The sequence below is a fragment of the Homo sapiens genome, chromosome 10, assembly GCF_000001405.40.
Source record: "Homo sapiens chromosome 10, GRCh38.p14 Primary Assembly".
In the NCBI taxonomy this organism is placed as follows: domain Eukaryota; kingdom Metazoa; phylum Chordata; class Mammalia; order Primates; family Hominidae; genus Homo; species Homo sapiens.
In genome coordinates, this window is record NC_000010.11 from 69,785,644 (window position 1) to 69,805,470 (window position 19,827).

The 19,827-nt window shown below is 50.7% G+C and overlaps 1 protein-coding gene and 1 long non-coding RNA gene across 44 annotated transcripts in view; one reads left to right on the top strand and one right to left on the bottom strand.

Annotated features, from left to right (window-relative positions):
* LOC124902444 (uncharacterized) lies at positions 14,220 to 16,128 on the bottom strand. Its single transcript, XR_007062179.1, has 2 exons — positions 15,403 to 16,128; positions 14,220 to 14,493 (listed from the first exon to the last, which is right to left on the bottom strand). It is a non-coding gene; the product is annotated as an uncharacterized LOC124902444 (long non-coding RNA).
* Positions 16,263 to 19,827, top strand: part of COL13A1 (collagen type XIII alpha 1 chain) — a 157,239-nt gene continuing 153,674 nt past the window's right edge. For all 43 annotated transcript variants that reach the window (XM_047424600.1, NM_001368882.1, XM_011539294.4 and 40 more), the window contains exon 1: positions 16,263 to 17,074. In XM_047424600.1, coding sequence (XP_047280556.1) covers positions 16,781 to 17,074 — 294 coding nt within the window. In that variant the 5' untranslated portion in view covers positions 16,263 to 16,780. The remainder of the gene's footprint in view (positions 17,075 to 19,827) is intronic.

Below are 19,827 nucleotides of genomic sequence, written 5' to 3' on the forward strand. Positions count from 1 at the left end.
TTGTCAGATTGGCTCAAAGAAAGAAGAACCCTAACCAAAAACACAAGAACTTAATTAGGGAGAAGGGCCATAATGTGACCCATGAAGGCTCAGTTTCAACCCTTCGCCCCTTGAGTATGATGTTTTCACAATCCCCTTTGAGTTTGAGAGGCAGAAACCCAGTGGTGGAAACATGGCCAGAGGAAGATGGAAGAAGGGATGAACATGTGGCTTTGGATCATTCTGCGTCTCAGCTCCCACTGCCTCTCAGCCCAGAAGTCTTCCACCCTCTCCCCAGAGTGAAACTCTCACCCTCGAAGGGTAAGCCCCAAGCCACCCCTCACCGTGAATCCTGTCAGCCCTACCTCCCCACACACCCCTTTCCCCGAGATTCTGAAAACACAGGGCTCCCACCCCAATTCTCACTTGCCCTTACTTCTCTCCACCTTGTGTAACAGTTCGTTTCTTTCACATCCTACTTCCCCCAACTCTGAGCTCCTTGAGAAACAGGAGCTGCATCTAACTCACATCATTGCTCACAGAGGGCCTGACCAAACCTGGGCCTGGCTGAAGATGTTCAGAAATATCTGCTGAATTGGGCACAAAGCTACACAGTGTGACAGTTGACATGTGGTGCCTCGAGTTACGGGATACATTTGAATTCTGTAAGAAGAACGTCTCTGTTGGGTTAAACTTGGCTGTCTGGGGCAGGCAGGCAGAGCAAATAGTATGTGGAATGAAAAATACGTAGCAAAGCCCTTCGGTTTATTTAGCCATTTGAGGAAGGGCCTGAGTGGGAATGTGCAGCAGAGCTGTGCATTCTCCTGGGAAACATTCCCAACAGCCAGGCCAGTTTCCCCAGGGAATGACCCATACATAGCTCCCCGCTGATGCCTTCATAAGGGGGGACCTTGCCTGCCGTTCTCTTCTGCCTCCCTTTGGAGCACCTCCTTCTCCAGCATTTCATGGTAATGACCATGTTCCTACCTAGGAGGAAGAGATTGCCTGACAGTATGACTTTGACCCATTATGGACAACTGGTTTTTCCTTCTTAACAGGCCCCATGTTTCAGCACCCCCAAGCAGAAGCATTTGGCAGGGAAACAGCTTTCTCGTTGAAAGTCCGAGCCTCACACAAAACACATCAGGAGTTTTTAGGTCAGGCAAGGTGGGGGTGGAGGTAAGTCGACTGCCCACCCTATTGTTAGGACTCTTGGGGTTGCCAGTGACTGAAAACCCAACTCATCAGGCTTGAGCCAAAAGAGAATTCATTAGACCATACTCCTAAAAAGCCCAACATAGCTCTAGCTTCAGGTGCAGCTTGTTCCAGGATTTCAAATTGTCACTAGGGAGCAGTCTTGGTCCATTTCTCAGCCCTACTCTCTTCCTGTTGTCTTCATTTTCAAGTTGGGGTAAGATGGCTGTCAGCAGCTCCAGGCTATACCTCCCAGGGTCAAATTCAGCAAGCCAGGCTGAAGTCCTAGGAGGTACAGGCATATAGTTCCAGATACTTGAGAGAGTGATGTGGGAGAATCACTTGAACCTAGGAGTTTGTCAAGCCTGGGCAACACAGTGAGACCCCATTGCTAAAAACAAAATAAAACAAAAAATCCAATTCAGCAACTAGTTTGGGTCAGGCTTTCTATTACTTGTAATCCAAAACATTCTAACTGATTCACTCAAAATACTTGTGAGCTACTTCCAAGTCTAGGCAGCCCATGAAAATGGCTGTATAGAGAGATGCCTGCCCCAGGTGTGACAGATAGAAGGTGGAGGGCTACTCCCCACAGAGTTCCTGGAAGGAGCCAGAGGTGTGGAGAGGCAGACTTTCCTGTAGAGATGCAGTGCTCCTGAGCATTTGAGAAGATGCTCAACATACATCTCTTTTAAGGTCCTGTGGCAAGAGGGTTAGATTTCCTCAGGTGGGTAGCTGTGTGCCTGCCTCCCCAGGTGCCCTGTGGATGAAGTGTCTGGGCTCTGATGGGGAAAGTGGGGAAGGGAAGAGCTTAGATGCAGCTGGTGAAATGCCTCGTTTCTAAGTTTCCTGGTTTCTGTGGCCACCTATGTGACAGCAAGAAGTCAGGTGTGTGCACATGGGTCAGAGCTCGGGCAGGGACTGGGGCCTTTTCGTCAAGAGTCAGCTTCTGCTCCTGCTGCCTCCTGCAGGGCCAGCTTGAATCTCGGTATAGTGGGTGCTGGAATGTACCACCCAGAGTCCCTCTGCGGTAGGGTGACAGCTGCTGATGGCTCACACATAGCTAAAGGGATCAGCTGCACACAAGACCACGCTCCCCCCTGGGGTAGCCTGCACCTTAGGACTCATGCTGGGGTATAGACACAGACAGCCAGTGTTTACACAGAGAGCCAGAGTTGAGCTCAATCCAGGCCAACTCTGAAGGGCATCCCAGCTACAAGCTCCCCTCAGGGTTGGCTGAGACCTCTCTTGCTACCGCACTACAATTAAACTTCATCCTCTGCCCAGGCCTTCCCATGTTCCCCAGTATATCCCCTGCATGCAAATCTCTGTCCCAGAGTCCGCCTCCTCAAGAGTCCAAGCCATGGCACCAGGTGAGGCAGGTGGTGTCTGTGCGGCCCGATATGAGAGACTGGATCCCAATCACTTCTTTTCCTGCACTGACGGGAATAGTGCTAAAGAAGGAGTTGAGAAGCACAGACCCTCTTGTTTATGTTTTTTGGGGTTTTTTTGTTTTGTTTTTTGTTTTTGAGACGGAGTCTCGCTCTGTTGCCCAGGCTGAAGTGCAGTGGTGTGACCTCGGCTCACTGCAACCTCCGCCTCCCTGGTTCAAGCGATTCTCCTGCCTCAGTTTCCCAAGTAGCTGAGATAACAGGCATCTGCCACCACACCCAGCTAACTTTTGTATTTTTAATAGAGATGGGGTTTCACCATTCTGGCCAGGCTGGTCTCAAACTCCCAACCTCAGGCGATCCACCTGCCTTGGCCTCCCAAAGTGCTGGGATTACCGGTGCAAACCACCGCGCCGGGCTTGTTTATACTTTATTTAAAATTAAAAGAACTTTCTATTATTAAAGAAACAATGTATGCTCATTGAGAAAAAAAAACTGGAAAATTCCAAAAAGCCAAGTAAATTAATCATGTAATTAAAAGACACCAAAACACATCCTTCCATGAAACACAATGATGACTTTGTGCATTTGAATTTGAAACTATGTATGGAGTCCTTCCTACTTCCTAGGCCATTCAGGCTCCCAACAACCCCATGAGGTAGACCTCATTATTCCCATTTTGCCAATGAGACTTGAGACACTCAGAACCGTGGAGTTAACACAGAGGGCAAACAGCAAGCAGACAGAGCTTCTGACTGCAAGTTCAGAGCTTTCCTCATCACACCCCAGACCACCAAGTTGATGTCAGCTTTTCTGAGCGTGTTCTTCAATGGGGAAGAGGGTGGCAGATATGGAAGAAAGTTCCTAGGCCAGAAAATGGGACCCTCCCTCTCGTCCTGGTTCTGCCATTTACTTACTGGTTGATCTTAGACAAGTATTTTCTCCTGACTGGGGCCTCTGTGTGGGGAAGGCTGTGGGGTCTATGCGCAATCTGTTGGGCGCTATGAAAATGGACAGGGTTAGCAAGTGCAGTTGCTCTGGTTGCCTGAAGGGGGCACCACTGAGAAGAAAAGCCCTAAAATTGGGGAGTTAGGACACCCCTCCTCTAACAGAAGACAATATTCCCACAGTGGATCCCCCATGGGTCTCCCACGGGCAGTGGAGAAGGGGGCTCCAGGGGCTGCAGGAGCCTCCAACAAAGCCAGAACTGTGACAGGGTGGAACCCCAGAGCTGGAACTTGGTGCGTCTGTGTAAAAGGCTTAATTTATCTTTTGTAATTCTCTTTGGCCAAGGGAGACAACAGGGGAATGTTTTACTTTCTTTCTTTTTTTTTTTTTTAAAGAAAACTTTCCATTGTGGAAATGGCATGTGTTTATTTTTAAAAATCCAGCCACAGGGATATATAACTTCTGGGGGAGGGAGAAAGCTCAAGGGCCAATACTGACCCTCCTACTGTGAAAGCTGGGTCTGGGTTTCTTTTGCCATTTGATTCTTCCCTCCTAGGCCTCTTTCCTTTAAGCAGAACAGAAATCTTGCTCGTGGATGTGAAGGAGAATGACGAAGAGGAGAGCTGAATTCCAGATAATTAAAATATTACTACAATAAGAGTGACTGACATTTATCAGGCACTTACCCTGCACCAGGCACTGGGCTAGGAGCTTTGCAAATTGAATACTGTGCAAAGTATTCTATGATAGCCCAAGGAAATAGCTTTCATTGTCTCTATTTTACAGGTGAGAAAATCCAGTCTCAGAGAAGTAGTTACCAGTCCAGGCTGGTAAAGCAAGAATTACGCACAGGCTTGACTGACTGCAAAGTCATAACTATAGTCTTCTATTGTGGCAGAATCTTGGACCTCTGTGGTCACTACTGTCAGCAGGAGCCCACTGTGTGGGAGGACAGACTGTACCCCAAGGAAGAGGCAGGGGGCCTTTCTTCTCTCCACATGAGGGATGCTAGGACCAGTCCACCCCCTAGCTTCTTTGGTGGGATGCACAGAAGTTTTCTTCCTCCCTCTTGGCCGCAAGCTTTCCTATGGAAAATGCTCTTTTGGGTAGCAGGGTATAAAAGAGGAGGCCCCTGAGCAAGGGGTTGGATCAAAAGCCTTGCTGTGGGGGTGGCGGAGGCAGTTTCCCATAACTGTGGTGACTTGGAGGTGGGATCCAGGGCCCAGGCCACTTCGCTTCCCACCCTCCCTTCCTAACAGTGTAACCTTAGGTGAGTTACCTAACCTCTCTGTACCTGGTTTTTCTCATCTGTTAAATGGGGAAATAGAAATACCTACTCTCGTGCAGATTTCATCTTGCGAGATGATGTGTATAGTAAAGCACTTAGAACAGTCCATAGTAACGCTTAACAAAAATTAGTTATTATTATTCTCCAGAAGTGACTCATTTTCACCAAGTAGACCACGGTGAACAAATATTCACAGATATACACAGCTGAAGTGTAAATGGTCAGACATAAGACACAGTGCTTTTTTATGATTGTTCTCCCACTGACCAAAAATGCAACCCCTACACCCAAGTTCATCTTGCCTGTTGTTTGAACCTGGCTACTCCTCTTGACTAGAGGCACTTGGAATTCTCAAAAGGACCTGATGGGGTTAGGGACCCCAGGTCTCTCTGTTCCGGAAGGTTTCAATATAATTCTGAAGCTCTATGGGATACCACCTGTGGTCCTTCTACCCCTCCAGGTCCAGGTTTAGCTAGGAGTTACCCAGCTTAAAAAAGAACCAGCACCTGCCATCTTGGAAGAATTTGTTCTCTCTTTCTAGGTGGTCCTTTCTTGGGTCGTTTGGGCCTGTGTTTCTAGGCTGGCAAAGCCTTGGCATCTTCATGATCCTCACTACCAATCACACCACCAATGTGACATCATCACCAATGTCATCCATCAATGCCACCATTTAATCTAAACCATGATTACCATCACTTCTGTTAGCAGCAACACCATCCCATCCCACAACCACCTCCATCACTGATGTTGCCTTCACCTTTTTCATCTTCCTCTCAGCCATTGTCACTGTTAGGATCTCTCTTACATGATCATCTTTGCACTTTCAAGATCACCTATGCTCAGGGCCAGACAGAACCCTTTGGTAGTAAGTAACGGAAATCCAAGTCCACTGACTTAAGAAAAGAGATGGAAAGGATTGTAGTTCACAGATCTAAACTAGAAAGGGTGAGACTGTCCGAGGGATGACTGTGCCCAAGGGACTCAAACACCAACAGAAAGCTTTCATTTTCTCCATCTCTCATCTCCACTTCTCTCCAGAGTCAATTTTATTCTCTTCTGCAGACAAACTCTTGTCTATGTGAGCTTCATGGATTTATACACAGCTGCATAGTGACTCAAAAGCAAAAGAATTTCTATCTCCCAAGCTCTGATTGAAAAATTCTAATGGAAGTCCCTGGTTGGTTTCACTTGGCCATCCTTTGGGCCAATCATAGTGGCTAGAAATGTGTGGTTCTGTGATTGACCCTGCTTGGTCGTGTGCCTAGTAAAAACATGGCAACTGGGGGAAACTTGGTGAACAGGTGAGTACTCTACTTTACGTTGACATACATCCCATTCACCACCATCACCAGCACCACCACCAGCACCGCTGCCATCACCACCACCGCCCTCACTGCCACTGCCATCACCACCTCACCATTATCACCACTACCACCATCACCACCACCACCATTATCTCCACTGTTGCCATCACTGCTACCACCACCATCATCACTACCACCATTACCATCATCATCACTATCATCACCACCACCACCACCGTCACCACCATCTCCACCACCATCACCACCACTACCACCATCACCACCACCATTATCTCCACTACTGCCATCACCGCCTCCACCACCATTACCACTACTATCATTACTATCATCATCACTATCACCACCACCACCACCACCCACCATCACTGCCACTGCCGTCACCATCACCACCACCCACCGTCACCACCACCACTGCATCACCACCACTACCACCACCACCAGCATCATTATCACCACTACTGCCATCACCACCACCATCACCACCACTATAACCACCACCACCACCACCGCCACCATCATCACTCTTTTTCTGAGAACTATAATGTGCCCAGCCTTGAACTTCACATTTGAACTACACAAATATGAGTTTGAAGAAATCTCCAGCCCTGCAGGAATTTACTGTCTCTGGAAACAAGAAAGTTGACTTGTTCAAGGAGCTAGACTTCTAGTCCTTGGCCACAGGATGGGAGCAAAGAGGGAAGCTGTAGGGGCAGCATCTGGCACCTCTTCAGCACTGGCCCTAAGCCCTGAACAGACCCAGAGTCCTTGGAAGCTAACAAGCCTGTGCTGTGATGGCCAGGCCACTTGGCAAATAGCTGCCTGTGCCCAGCCAGGAACTGGAGCCATTCCTTCATACTCACAAAGTTCCCACCCCAGCCCACTGCCCTGTGCTCTACCAGAGCCCTCAGCACATCTGCCCTGTTCCCTCGGGGGCTGGGACTTGCTTTTGGCTCTATTCCCCCTACTCCTGCTCCACCTCTGAGCAAACATCTGTTTCTAGACGTTGTCCTAGAGCCTAATAAAGTCTCGGAAAGGCCCAAGTTAATATATCCATAGACCTGCCTGTCAGCAGCTAGCTAATGTCAGGAACAGAGCACTCAAGGAAAGCAAGACCCCTCGTTTCCTGATGGGGGTGGAGTGTACGGGAAAGATAAACAGGGCATCCCTCCCCATTTCAGAAATGACCTTAACAAAGCAACAGCTTTTAGGAAAAAGAGAAAAGAAAAAAATGGCCTTTGTAATGAGGTTTATGGGAACAAATGTTTCAGGTGGTTCTGCCTTCACAGCTACTGCTGGGGAAAGAGCTGGAGGGAGAAGAGCTCAGTCATGAGTGCAAAACCTCCTGTGGATTAACTGGCCCTTGGCCACAGTCCAGACAATGGGCTGAGCCTGAACCTGGGGGCTGTGAGTTGCCTGGCAGGGAAAAGACCTGCCCTGAGTGGCAGGTCTGGTTCTGCCACTAGTATGCTGGGTAACCTTGGACCACATTCTGACCTCTCTGTATTCAGTTTCTGCAGATGCCACATACTAGTGGAGCCTTGGAGGATTGACAAAGGTCCTTCTGGGCAAGGGGTGGGGGTGCCCCACACTTCAAACCAGGAGAGTAGCCCCTAAGATAAGATCTGACTACTGAGTTCTGTGGTCAAGACCAAGAGTTCCACAGTGGTGGGGGCGGGCAGAGGGTTGGGGGACAGGAAAGAGAGCAGAGACACAATGCTATAACTTGCATACCTCAAATTCTGGTAAGCGGGGATCTGGATCAGTAAACTAATTGGGCTCTTCATTATCCATCGGTCATCAACCAGAAACATCTGTCTCTTAAACTGCAGTTGCCCACCTTTCCGACAGCTCTTCCTGCCTGTCAGGGAGAGCTCAAGTCCTGCGTCCTTCTCCGAGCACATAATTGGGGCGCCCTTCCACTAACTCTGAGGCCTAGATTCTGAGCCCTTGTTTCCATGGACTGACAGCTCTGAGGGTCTGTGTTTCACTCTCACTCCTTAACCGATTGTTCTTTCTCCAGCAAGCTGCAAATCAGGCCCTAATGGCTGCATTTGCTTGTGGTTTCTGATGCCTGGTTGCAGCACGACCATCACCAACATCTCTTCTGTATTTTGCACTTGATTAGGGCTTTGCACACATGATCTCATTTGAGTCTTCCAGCATTCCCCTAAGTAAGAATTCATCTTCCCCTGCCTGGGCAGGAGAAGGTTCCAGAGAGGTTAAGGCATTTACCAAAAGGCACACAATTTGTAGATAAAGAAGCAAAGCTTCTGGTGCTTTGTTTCAACTCAAACTGAATCAGCAAAATGGTTTCATCTCAAGTACTAATCTCACTAGATTGATAATAGCTTTCTGCTTTGAGGGGCATAAGGGATTGTGTGTGTGTGTGCGTGTGTGTGTGTGTGTGTGTGTGTGTGTGTGTGTATGGTGGGAGTGGTGTTCTGTAGTTGATTAGTGATGTCTGCCAGTGGCATGGGAAGTATTGGCATGTGTGTGAAACACGACCAGACCATACCACTTAAGAAGAATGGAAGGTCAGGTGTTTGGGGTTATTGGGGTTCAGGAGGTCACATGATGCACCCAGGCAAGGATGGACCACATAACCTTGGAACTTCTGCTCTATTCTCCCAGTCCCTTTCTTTGTCTGGATCCTGCCATGCTCCAAGGACCAGCTTAGAATTCACCTCTTCCAGGAAGCCTTCCTGAACCTTCACTTCAACTCTAAGTCTCCACCCACTTCCCTTCTCTGAGTCCCAAGGCACTAATCATCTGCCTACTTGTTTGGCCTTCAGCTTATGCTGCCTGGCACTGCTGTTCTTTCTTCTGCACACATAAGTCCCCACAGATGCCCCTCAGGACTGTGAGTTCTGTGAGTACCTAACTCTGGGTTTTGCTCCCACTAGGAGGCTCAATAATAAATGCAGACTAATTTATATCAATGACCTAGACCGTGCAAATGGGCAAGCAGTAGCCCTCCTCTCCACTGCCAGAACACAGGGCTTGAGAGGAGGCAAGAACCCCTGTTTGGTTTTTATTGTACATGCCCAGTCTCTACAGTTATTACAATGTCAAGGTTGGCTTCCATGAACCTAGTCCTGACTCAGCACTTTGCATCCACTATTGCATCCAATCCTCACAATAACTCTAGGAGATAGGAATTCTTCTCCTTATAGTTCATGCTTTAAAAAACAGATGCAGAGAGGCCACATAATTTGCAAAGTCACATAGGGAGCACACAATGGAGCCAGAACCTGAAACTACCTGAAATAGCCTCCAAGTGAATAGAAAATTAGTTTCAGAGCCATCTACACCTGGCCTTGGAATAAGGCAAGGTAGGTGCCAGGTAGGAGATTTCTGCTGAATTACTCTCAAACCATCCAGGTCCAGAGGGATATGGGCTGCTTAGTACCTCCAGCTGCTCCTGGAAGAAGTCAACAAAAGACAGTGGGTCTGGGCAGCATCTGGGCACTGGGGTTGACAGCTGGGCATGGGCTTTGCTAACCACAACATTCCCCAAATCCTACTTTTCAGGGTCAAATAATCCTCTAGACAGATCCAGTAGCCCACCCTACCAGGCATTCATTCTTGCTCAGGTAAACACTTACATTTGTGGACCTTACATCCTGGTATTCATGACATTGATTAGTTTCTTCCCACATGACTCTGGGCTTGGCCATGTGACTTGTTTTGGCCAATGAGACATTAGCAATTGTCGCACAAGCAGAGGCATGATAAGCAGTCTTGGAACACTCCTCATGAAAGCCAGCCCCCATGCTGGCTCAGGATAAACTATAGCCATATTGCCTAGAGCAGAAGAACCTTTTGGCTGAGCCCTGTCAATACACATAATCATAAAAAATAATAAATCACTGTTTAAACCACTAAGTTTTGGAGCAGTTTGTTATGCAGCTAGAGATGACTGACATACTGTCCCTAGTTATGGCTACCATCATTCTTAGACATGGTTGGGGTCCTGACCATGCTGGCTCAGGATAGACTATAGCCATACTACCTGAAGCAGAAGAACCTTTTAGCTGAGCCCTGTCAATACACAGAATCATAAGAAATAATAAATCATTGTTTAAATCACTAAGTTTTGGAGCAGTTTGTTATGCAGCTATAGATGACTGATATATTGTCCCTAGTTATGGCTACCATCATTCCTAGACATGGTTGGAGTCCTGACCATTCAGAAGCACCTACATGCTCTTGTATATGCATCTCAACCAAAGTAGATTACATACATAGAGCTTAGCACACTTCCCTTTCTGCCAACGCACACAAACACTCATACACACACACAGGGAATGGCTTGGAGCCAACTCATGTGTACCTTGAGGCAGCCCTGGTAACCCACAGCATTTGCACTCCCCTACATATGCCTGCTTGACTGTGTGTGCAGAAATGTGCACGATCTTCTGTGTCGCAAAACACAAGAGCAGAAAAGGCATGTACACACCCCAAAATCTTACATTGATGGCAGATGGGAGTCACACACACACGCGTGAACATGGTCACTCACGGCCTGAAACCATAAGCACCCAAAGGTGCAGAAAACAGGAGAGTGAAGAAGCCCTCAGTCCTTTTCCTCTGCACTCCACATTTCAGCCTTGGTGAACCACTTGGCTTCCCCAAAGCACTATGCACTTTCTCACCTACAGGCCTTTGCACAGGTAGGTTCCCCTGTTTGGCATGCCTTCCCTATACCCCATTCACCTGGCCACTCTACTCACCCTTCAGGTCTTATGTCCCAAGCCTAGTAGGGGCTACTCTTCTACGCTCCCACTATTTCCTGCATGGTAGTGCTTCTCAGGGTTGGCCCTCACCACCAGCCTTGTCTCATTTACGATTGTGTCTCCAACACCAGCACAGAGCCTGGCACTAGACAGCACTCCGTAAATACTTGTTGAATGAATGGATTTTTGAGCTGGGAAGGCCCTTAGCCATTCCACTTCTCCTTTCCTCCCTTGCCCATCAATCTCTACATGTTATATAAGAAGAAGTAGATGAGTAGATGCACACCTTAGGTAACAGAGCTAGGAGAGAGCCAGAGCTAGAATCCATCCATTCATTCCATCATTCGCTCACTCATTCCTTCACTCCACCATTCCTTGGGCATCTATGCTGTGCTGAATGCTGAGGATATGGGGATGAGTACAGTCATCCCTGCCCCCTGGGAACTCACAGCTCAGGAGGGGACAGATGCAAGTCACAGTCACATGTGGCTTATGCTACAGAAGACAGACCCAGAATAACAGCGGCTCAAATGAACTCAATTATTTCTCATTTATGTGAAAGTCTAGGCTTGTTTGGCAACTTGACTCCACGAAGCCGTCAGGGGCCCAGGTACCCTTCTGTCTTGTTGCTTGATGCAGGAGTCAGAAGCAGAGCTAGAAAACTGAGTGTCATGCCAGGGATCATAAAGCCTGGGACAGAAGTAAGAAACAGAAAGTCTGGAGCTCCTTGGGGAGGCTCTGGCAGGTCCCCGTCCACACCTCCGTGGTTTTGCCTGTTCTAGCTACGATATGGGAAAGTTGGGTTTGTTTAAAGACCTAGGCTTGGACTGGGCACAGTGGCTTAAGCCTGTAATCCCAACACTTTGGGAGGCCGAGGTAGGTGGATCAAAACTCAAGACCAGCCTGACCAACATGGTGAAACCCCATCTCTACTAAAAATACAAAAATTAGCCGGGCATGGTCGCACATGCCTGTAATCCCAGCTACTCGAGAGGCTGAGGAAGGAGAATCGCTTGAACCCAGGAGGTGGAGGCCTCAGTGAGCCGAGATTGCACCACTGCACTCCAGCCTGGATGACAGAGCAAGACTCCATCTCAAAACAAACAAGCAAACAAAAAACAAGAAAAACCTTAGGCTTGGGGCAGACAACAGAAGCAGAGAGGTCAGAGAGGAGGAACAGATCCAAAAAAAAGGGAAGGAGGTGGAATCTCCAGGACTAGTCCCTACTCAAGTGAGTGAGGGAAGGGAGGGCAGGGGAGAAAGCAAACATCCCGGCTGAGCACAGGGTGATGCCATACCTGGCACCGAGGGAACAAAGGGCAGGGAGGGTGTGAGGAAGCTGAGTGTGAGGTGGAGGGGAGGGGTGTTCCAAGAGCTACCACGAGCAAGCTGTGCGTGGGACATGAACTGTGTGTTTGAGTGGGAGAGTTGTCCACAGAGAGATAGAAACTGGAGCCTACGATGGACAAGTTCTCCCAAGGCGAGCGCTCAGTCCAGTCTCTTCCCTGGATGGACCTCCCAATCCCTTGGGAAGTTTTTAGAAGCAGACAGGAACCTGGACTTCCCTGCCATCTCTTCCTACCAACCACAAAGAGATTCTGACTCAGAAAGGTAGCCTGAGGCCCTATATGTGACTGGGCTCTTACACTTACAAGAAAGGAAACCCAACTCAAACTGGCTGGAGCTGAAAGGACTCCTGTCACCGGGCTTCTGGCACAATTTGATTGAAGGGTTTCGGTGATGTCTTCAGGACTCAGTCACTCTCCACCTCTGTTTGCCTCCGTGTTGGCTTCATCCTCATTTATCAACAGTGGCAAGACACCTGCGGCAGCTCCAGCTCATCCCTTTAGAAAGCCCTTCCAAGGAAATAGCTGTAGCTCCCAGTCACTCCAGCCCAACTCTCACTGGCCTGAACTGGGCCACATGTCCTCTCTGACCTAGTCACAGTAGCCAGGGGAGATGAGAGAGGACAACTGGTGAGGTTACTTCCTATTCATATGCCAGGTATGGAGTTAACTCCACCAGAGCCATATGTCCTGGGGAGAAGAAAGTTCCCCAAAGGAAATTGAGTCACAGTTACTAGGAATAGGGGGACTAGGCTCAGGGCAAATAAAATGACAGGTGTTGGCTCCCCTGTGGCCTCTACAGGGGACCTGGAGCAGGTCCTGGCCATGGAAGCTTTCCATGGGGAAGAAATGGGAGAGGCAGGTCAAGAGCCATGGGCAGAAGAGCCAAGTAGAGGACAGAGGACCTGCGGCCTTCTGGAGGAGGGCTGACCTTCGCTTTTGTCATGGGGAGCAGAAGCTGAGTCTTTGGGGAAGCCTGAAAAGCTGGTGGGAGAGGCAGTGGAAGAGGCAGTGGGAGACAGCACAGTGGGGCCTCAGAGATGCCACGCTGGTAGTTTTGGTTTCAGGAAGGATTTTGATGCTGTCAAAGCCACAGTGGAGGAAGAGAAGTGGGGTTTGCTCAATAAAAACGGGCTGGGAGCAAATGACAGGATTTTAAGGTGTAGAAAACAGGAGAGAGAAGGGTGGCCTTCCTGGCAGAGGGTCTAGCAGGAGCAAAAAAGTGGAAAAACACAGAAAAGACTTGAAGAACAGTAGAGGCTGTATGCCTGGGGCATTTTTTCTTCATTTTTGTCTAGGTGTGTAACCAAGACCACAGTTTAAAATCAAAGTCTTTGGGTTAGCATTGGAGGCCCTCTTTCTTCTTACTGCAAACAAGAAAATCTATTTCCTGGTGTTTTTCTTGAGGCATCTGAATCCCCCCCCTTTCTTCTGGGAGCCCTGAAGCACCTTTTGTGGTCTTTACATGTTTTGTGGATTTTCGCTATTCTGCCTTTTGTGGCGGTTTTATGTGAACATGACTTGTCTTCCTTAATCAACTGTTTTTAAAGCTCCTGGAAGGCACTCTTTTCACCTCAGTGTCCCCAGGTCCTGGCCCCCACCTATGAAGAAAGAAGGGTTCAAGATAAGCCACATGAGGCTGTAACTTGTGCCTGGGGTAGACAATGCTCTACCTGAAAGAAAAATCTCCCAGGGCAAGAATTCTAAGCAGTGTGGGAAGAAGAAGAGGGATACCTGGGGATCAGGCCCCTCAACACAAGCTAACTCCTGCTGCTCACAAGCTGCTACTCTCAGCTGTCAGGTAGGGAAAAAATGGAGGTTAACTGTGATCCATTTGCTTTCTCTGGGATGGAAACTTCTTCCTGTTTCACAACTGGGAGCCCAGAGCTAGCTGTGTCTGAGATGGCCCTAGCAGCCATGAATTCCAAAGAAGGAGCCGATGCCCTTTATTGAGTGCCTGCCCTGTGCCAGCACTGTGTTCACTGCTTTACATACATTACCTCATTCAGTCCTTCCAGACGGGTAGATACTTTTATTATCAGCCCATCTTACAAATGAGAAAACTGAGCCTCCGAGATGTTCAGCAGCTTCCACATTGACAAAAGGGAGATTTACACCCAGGTTTCTCTGACTCCAGAGTCCCCCTGGAAGCTCCAGGGTTTGCAATGCTGGGGCCAGGTCAGGCTAGCGCAACACCCTCCTCTTTCAGTTCCCAATCACAAGGATGCTCCAGCTCCAAACTGTTTAGATTTCACTGCCTGAGCATTCCTGAGGGCCTCCAAAGTCCTGAAAGGGAAAAGATCAGTTTGCAGAATAAGGAGGGAATGAAACTAACTCCCCACCTCAGTTCCTCCATTCAGACTAGCCTGGGAGGGGAGTGGGGGAAGTCCAAAGTCCCTGAATTTCCTGGCCTGTACCTCCCAGTGCAGAAACTCTCCAACGCCCCCTGGTGTTCTTCAATACCATCCAAGTCTCCCAAGGATTCATTCCTCTGTAGAGTGGACTGGGACATCCCATCACAGGGATGGAGAAAACAGAGTGCCCTTGCCACTGAAGCCATCAGGAGAATCCTAGAACTGGAACTGGAACCCAGAGCTCCTGGCCACGGGCTCTTTCAGCAGCATCGCCTTCTATTCCTGTTGTCCTCCATAGTGGCTGACTGGCCCAGCAGTCAATGTTACCTTTATTACATATGATCTCAGTACTTACTATGTTACAAGTCCAATATGCACTATTAAGTGTGCCACACTTTATTAGAAGTGCAGTGACACTGTATTATATATCAAGTTCCATCAGGTCAATATAGAAAATGGGAAGTTTGTACTGGCATGCCTTGTTATTTTGAAATGGAATCCCAGCACCACTGCTGCCCCCACCTCCACTGCATATTTGAAAACCCAGTCTACTCTCCTCTGCCCGCTGTTCCAGGAAGACAGGCTTTCTCCCAAAAACTCAGTCCCACCACCTCATTCACAGGAATGTCAACAGGCACAAGGAGATAAAGTCTCTTGGGATACAAATGCTACTTAATGTGGGGGGTGGAGGAGGTGACAAGAGAAGAGAGAAAACTACCAAATGCCCTTCAGGCCACCAGTTTTTCTCTAGTGGAATATAGGAAATGACAACAGGAGAGAGCCTGGTTAGCCCTAAGCCTCCCGCAGGGATGGAACCTGAGTTTGTGTAGGAATTGCTCACCTTTGATGACTGGGATGATTGAGGCAGGCTGGTCTCACCACACAGGGATAGATGGCATGGGTCTCAGATTAATGGCAGGCAAGAAGGGGAGATGTCAGGACTGGCAGGCGGCCCCAATGAGCCACCTCTCAGATACCTGGAATAAGATCTCCTCCGTTTTCAGTGTCTCATACTACCTCAGGTCTTGGTCCTGAGAGGAAGGGCTGCCAGCTCTGCTGCCCCCTGGAGGGCTGACTTTTCACCCCAGAGTAAAGATGTGGTTGGCCGCCCGGCACTGGAGGAGCTGCAGATCTCAGGAGGTACAGAGCCCCCGGGGAGTCGGTTGTCGGGGGAGAAGGAAGGGGAAAGAGGTTGGGGGCTTGGGAGTAGAGGAGCGGTGGCTGAAGGGATCAGGTAGTCCTGATCAGGACGTGGAGATCCACCCACAAGCCCTGACAATAACTCAGTCGAGTTCCTGGAGGGTCTCAAGGGCTGGGAAAGGTGGAGTGGTGCCTGCCCCAACGCGTCCATGGAAGGTGGTGCCCGCCTCACCGCCTCCGTGGAAGGCCAAACGAGCCCTCGGTGTGAATCCGGAGAAAGAGAGGGAAGTGCAGCGCCAGCTCCACTCCACACCCCCTTCCTGCCTATAAATAACCCCAAGTGTCACTTCAAAGAGGACGGGGAGCGCGGCAGAGGGGCTCCCGGGCCGGCGGGCTGGGGCCGCCGGACCTGCTCACCACGCCCCCCACCCTGGGCGAGTTTGCATAAATAAACAAATCCAAGCCGTCGGCCCCGCGGGAGGTGGAGGAGGAGTGACGAGGAGGAGGAGGAGGAGGGAGGGGGGAGGGAGAGATTAGTTTGGGAAGTAGCACGGATTGCTCATCCGATCCGTGCCGCCGCAGGGAGTGTGTCAAGTTACAGAGGCGCCGGAATCGGCCCCTGCGCTCCTCGCCAGCCGCCACGACCCACCTCTGCCCATGGGGCCCTCCGTGTGCGCCCCTTCGCCCGGGGACTGAAACTGACTGGCCCGGGAGACACGAGGCGCCCAGAAGGACTGACAGCGCGGCACCAACTGCTCTGCAGACACTTGAAGGGAAAGACTGGGCGGAGAGAAGGAGAGCCGGTCAGATTCCCCTAACTTTCCTGGACTTGGAACGTTCTTCGAAATAACTTTTTTCTCACCTAGGTGTACCCCAATTACCGCTGGTTGTGCTTTTTCGGCACTTCCTCTCCTACTGCTAATTTTTCCGTCCTCTTTGCCGGGAGCAGCGGAAAGGGACGTTTTCCAGCGATACAAGCCCTTTCCCCCTGCCCCGCAGTTTGGATAGAGCCTTTTGGCAGCGGCTGTCGCCTTTATTTATTCTATTTATTTATTTATTGGTTCTCAAGACGCGAGAGGATGGTAGCGGAGCGCACCCACAAAGCGGCAGCCACCGGTGCCCGCGGCCCTGGGGAGTTGGGCGCGCCCGGGACGGTGGCTCTGGTGGCGGCGCGGGCGGAGCGCGGCGCACGGCTGCCGAGTCCAGGGTCGTGCGGGCTGCTGACGCTGGCCCTCTGCTCGCTGGCACTCAGCCTGCTCGCCCACTTTCGGACGGCCGAGCTGCAGGCCCGGGTGCTGCGCCTGGAAGCGGAGCGCGGGGAGCAGCAAATGGAGACGGCTATTTTGGGACGAGTCAATCAACTGCTGGACGAGGTCTGTGCTCTTTGTTGCTGGCTTTTATCCCTCCCCGCGGCGCCCCCTCGCGCAGCCTCCAGACTGTTCAGCCGGTGTCCGCGGGCGCTCGCTCTCTGCGAGCCCCAGGTTCGCGCGAGTTGCCTGCGGGAGGGGTCGGGGACACGGACAGACGCTGCCCTACCAGGGATTCGGAGGACCTGGTGGGCAAGAGCATGACCCAGCGACTCCCGCCTCGGGCAAGCGCCCCCGGCTTCCAGCGCTGGGAGCGCCCTGGGCACGCCGGGCAGGTGGAGGAAGGCTGGGCGCGCGGAGGCTCGCGGAGGCGGGCAAGCTCCACTCCTCCCTTTCGGGACCCGGCCAGGGTGGTGTGACAGCCGCCCCGCGCCCGCGCAGCGGCAAGCGCGCCCAGAGGCCCAGGCCGAGGCTTACTGAGCCCCCATGGCCCTCCCCCTCCACCCCTTAAGGACCCGGGGGGTGCGGGGAGAGGGGACAGTTCTTGCAGGGGGTGGTGCCCTGGTCTCTGCTCACTGGCCCAGGCCGCTAGGGTCCAAGTGTGGGTCGCCTGGCTCTGCTGTCCTTGGCCACAAATTAGTCCACACCTTCTTTTTCCTAAACCAGGTTTCTTATTTTTCTGGAGAAAGGATGCTTTCTTCCATTCTCCAAATTTTTTTGATCCAAGTAGATTAAACACTACTAGCGTGTCAGGTAGCTATGGCAATCTTCGGAATACAGGAAAAGGCTGTCCCCTCCCCAGGAAGGAGGGACATGCAGCCTCTTTGTGCCACCAGAGGAAAGGCTGGGCCTTGACAGGGTGAGGCTTGATGATCTGTGGGAATCTGGACAGCACAGGGGATTCAGGGCCCAGATAGAGAGGAGGACAGGCAGGTGGGGGCCGCAGCAGTCTGGGAAGAGGTCCTGGAGCAGGTCCTGGCCATGGAAGGTCCTGGCCATGGAAGGTTTCCATGGGGAAGAAATGGGAGAGGATATCTTACTTAGCTGGAGGGAGTGTGCAGCAGTAAAGATCACGGTGGTAGAGGCCAGCAACCCTGGGTTTTTATCCCCACTCTGCTACTTGGAAGCTTGGGACAAACGCTCCAACCCCTCTGAACATGCGAAACAGTGCTGATGTAGCAAACACTGGAGCACAGCTCTAACTGTGGTGGGTGGGGTGCTGTGAGCATTTTGGCAAGATGTACCTATTCCCTATAGCCAGGCTCTTCTCAGCTGCCCCTGCCAGGCTGGCACCTGCTGGAGCAGTTCTCCAGGGTGGCCAAGGAGGAGATTGCAGGGCCAGAGCAGAGAGAGCGGTCACAGGGCAAGCGTACTGGTGCTAGTGGTGCACCCATGACTGCTGCTGTCAGCTCATTCCCACGCCCTGCCAGGCTCCAGGGAATCCGGAGAACTCCATCGGGCCGTCCATGGTTCCCTGGGCCTGGGGTGGAGGTGCAGCATCTCTGGGCTCAGGCAGAATGAGCCCAGACTGGCTGGGTGGTGAAGAAGGTGTCAGGGCAGTGAGAGCTCCTCCAGGTATCTCGGGGGTCCTGGCTGCTGAGGGATAAGCATCTGATTTTCAGGGTTTAGCACAGCCCCTCTCTCCATGCTTTCCCCTTCCCAGACCTTCCTGCTGGCCTGACCATGCCCTGGCCTTTTCTAGCTTCTTGCTTCCACTGCTTCAGACTTAGACATGCCAAGTCGCATACTCTAGGGGCCTTGGGGCTAACTATTGTATCCGACATGCTCACTCCTTCCCTCCAAGCTGCAGCTCCATATTTACCCTACTGAATACAATCTTTTCAACTGCTAGATATGAAAGTTATCCCAGAGAGCATCTGAACTGAACCCCATTTTTCAGATGGGGAAGTTGAGCCCAGAGTCACATGGCGAGGCCCAGGACTAGAACCTCAGCCTCCTGGCCCTGTATACAATGTTCTTTGCGCTGTATCCTGCCACCTTTTTTTTTTTTTGGCCTATTCTCATTCATTCATTCAGAAAATGTTTACTGAGAGCCTGCTGCGGGTCAGGCATTGTGGGAGACACTTTTGCCCTCCTAAACTTACATACAGGGAAGTAGTGCACAAAGAAGAAAATGGGCAGTGACCATGTCGTGTGCAAAAAAAAAAAAAAAAAAAAAAAAAAAAAAAAAGCTACAATAGTGAAAAAAGAGAGGGGCCTGGGGAATGCATTACATGCAACATTGTCTGATGGTGGTGGCAGTCATGGCAGGCTTCCTTAGGGAAATGATTTTCAAATGAAGAGCTGAAGGATGAATAGGAGTTTGCCAGGCAAAAGCGGGCGAGTGTGAAGCCTTGTTCTAAGGGGACAAACGGAACAGCCTTTGAGGCTGGGGGCCAGAGGGAATTGGGAGAACTGGGGGAAGTCCAGGACCCCGGAGGACTGGGAGTGTGAGGAAGTAGGAGATGTGGCTGGAGAGAGACGGGCAGCCCAGGTCAAGAGGGGCCTTAGAGAAAGTTAGATCTAAATAAGAGTAATGGGGAGCCATTGAAGGGTTTTCAGGAAGGCAGTTATGCCCCTAGAGTGAGTGCTTACGGCTGGCAAAGCAGTAAGGCCAAAAACAGAAGGCTGCTGCAGGCCAGAGGGGACAATGAATGGGGGTAAAAGTAGGGTCAGAGAGGGGTGACTGGAAATGGTGGCTGAGGTCAATAGGGGAAGATGCTGGAGCCAGAGGAAGGGAGCTGTCCCACAGGTGGATGGCGTGAGTGGCCTTATCTGTGGGGGCCTTGTCTGTGCTCCTGGAGGGACACCCTAGGGTT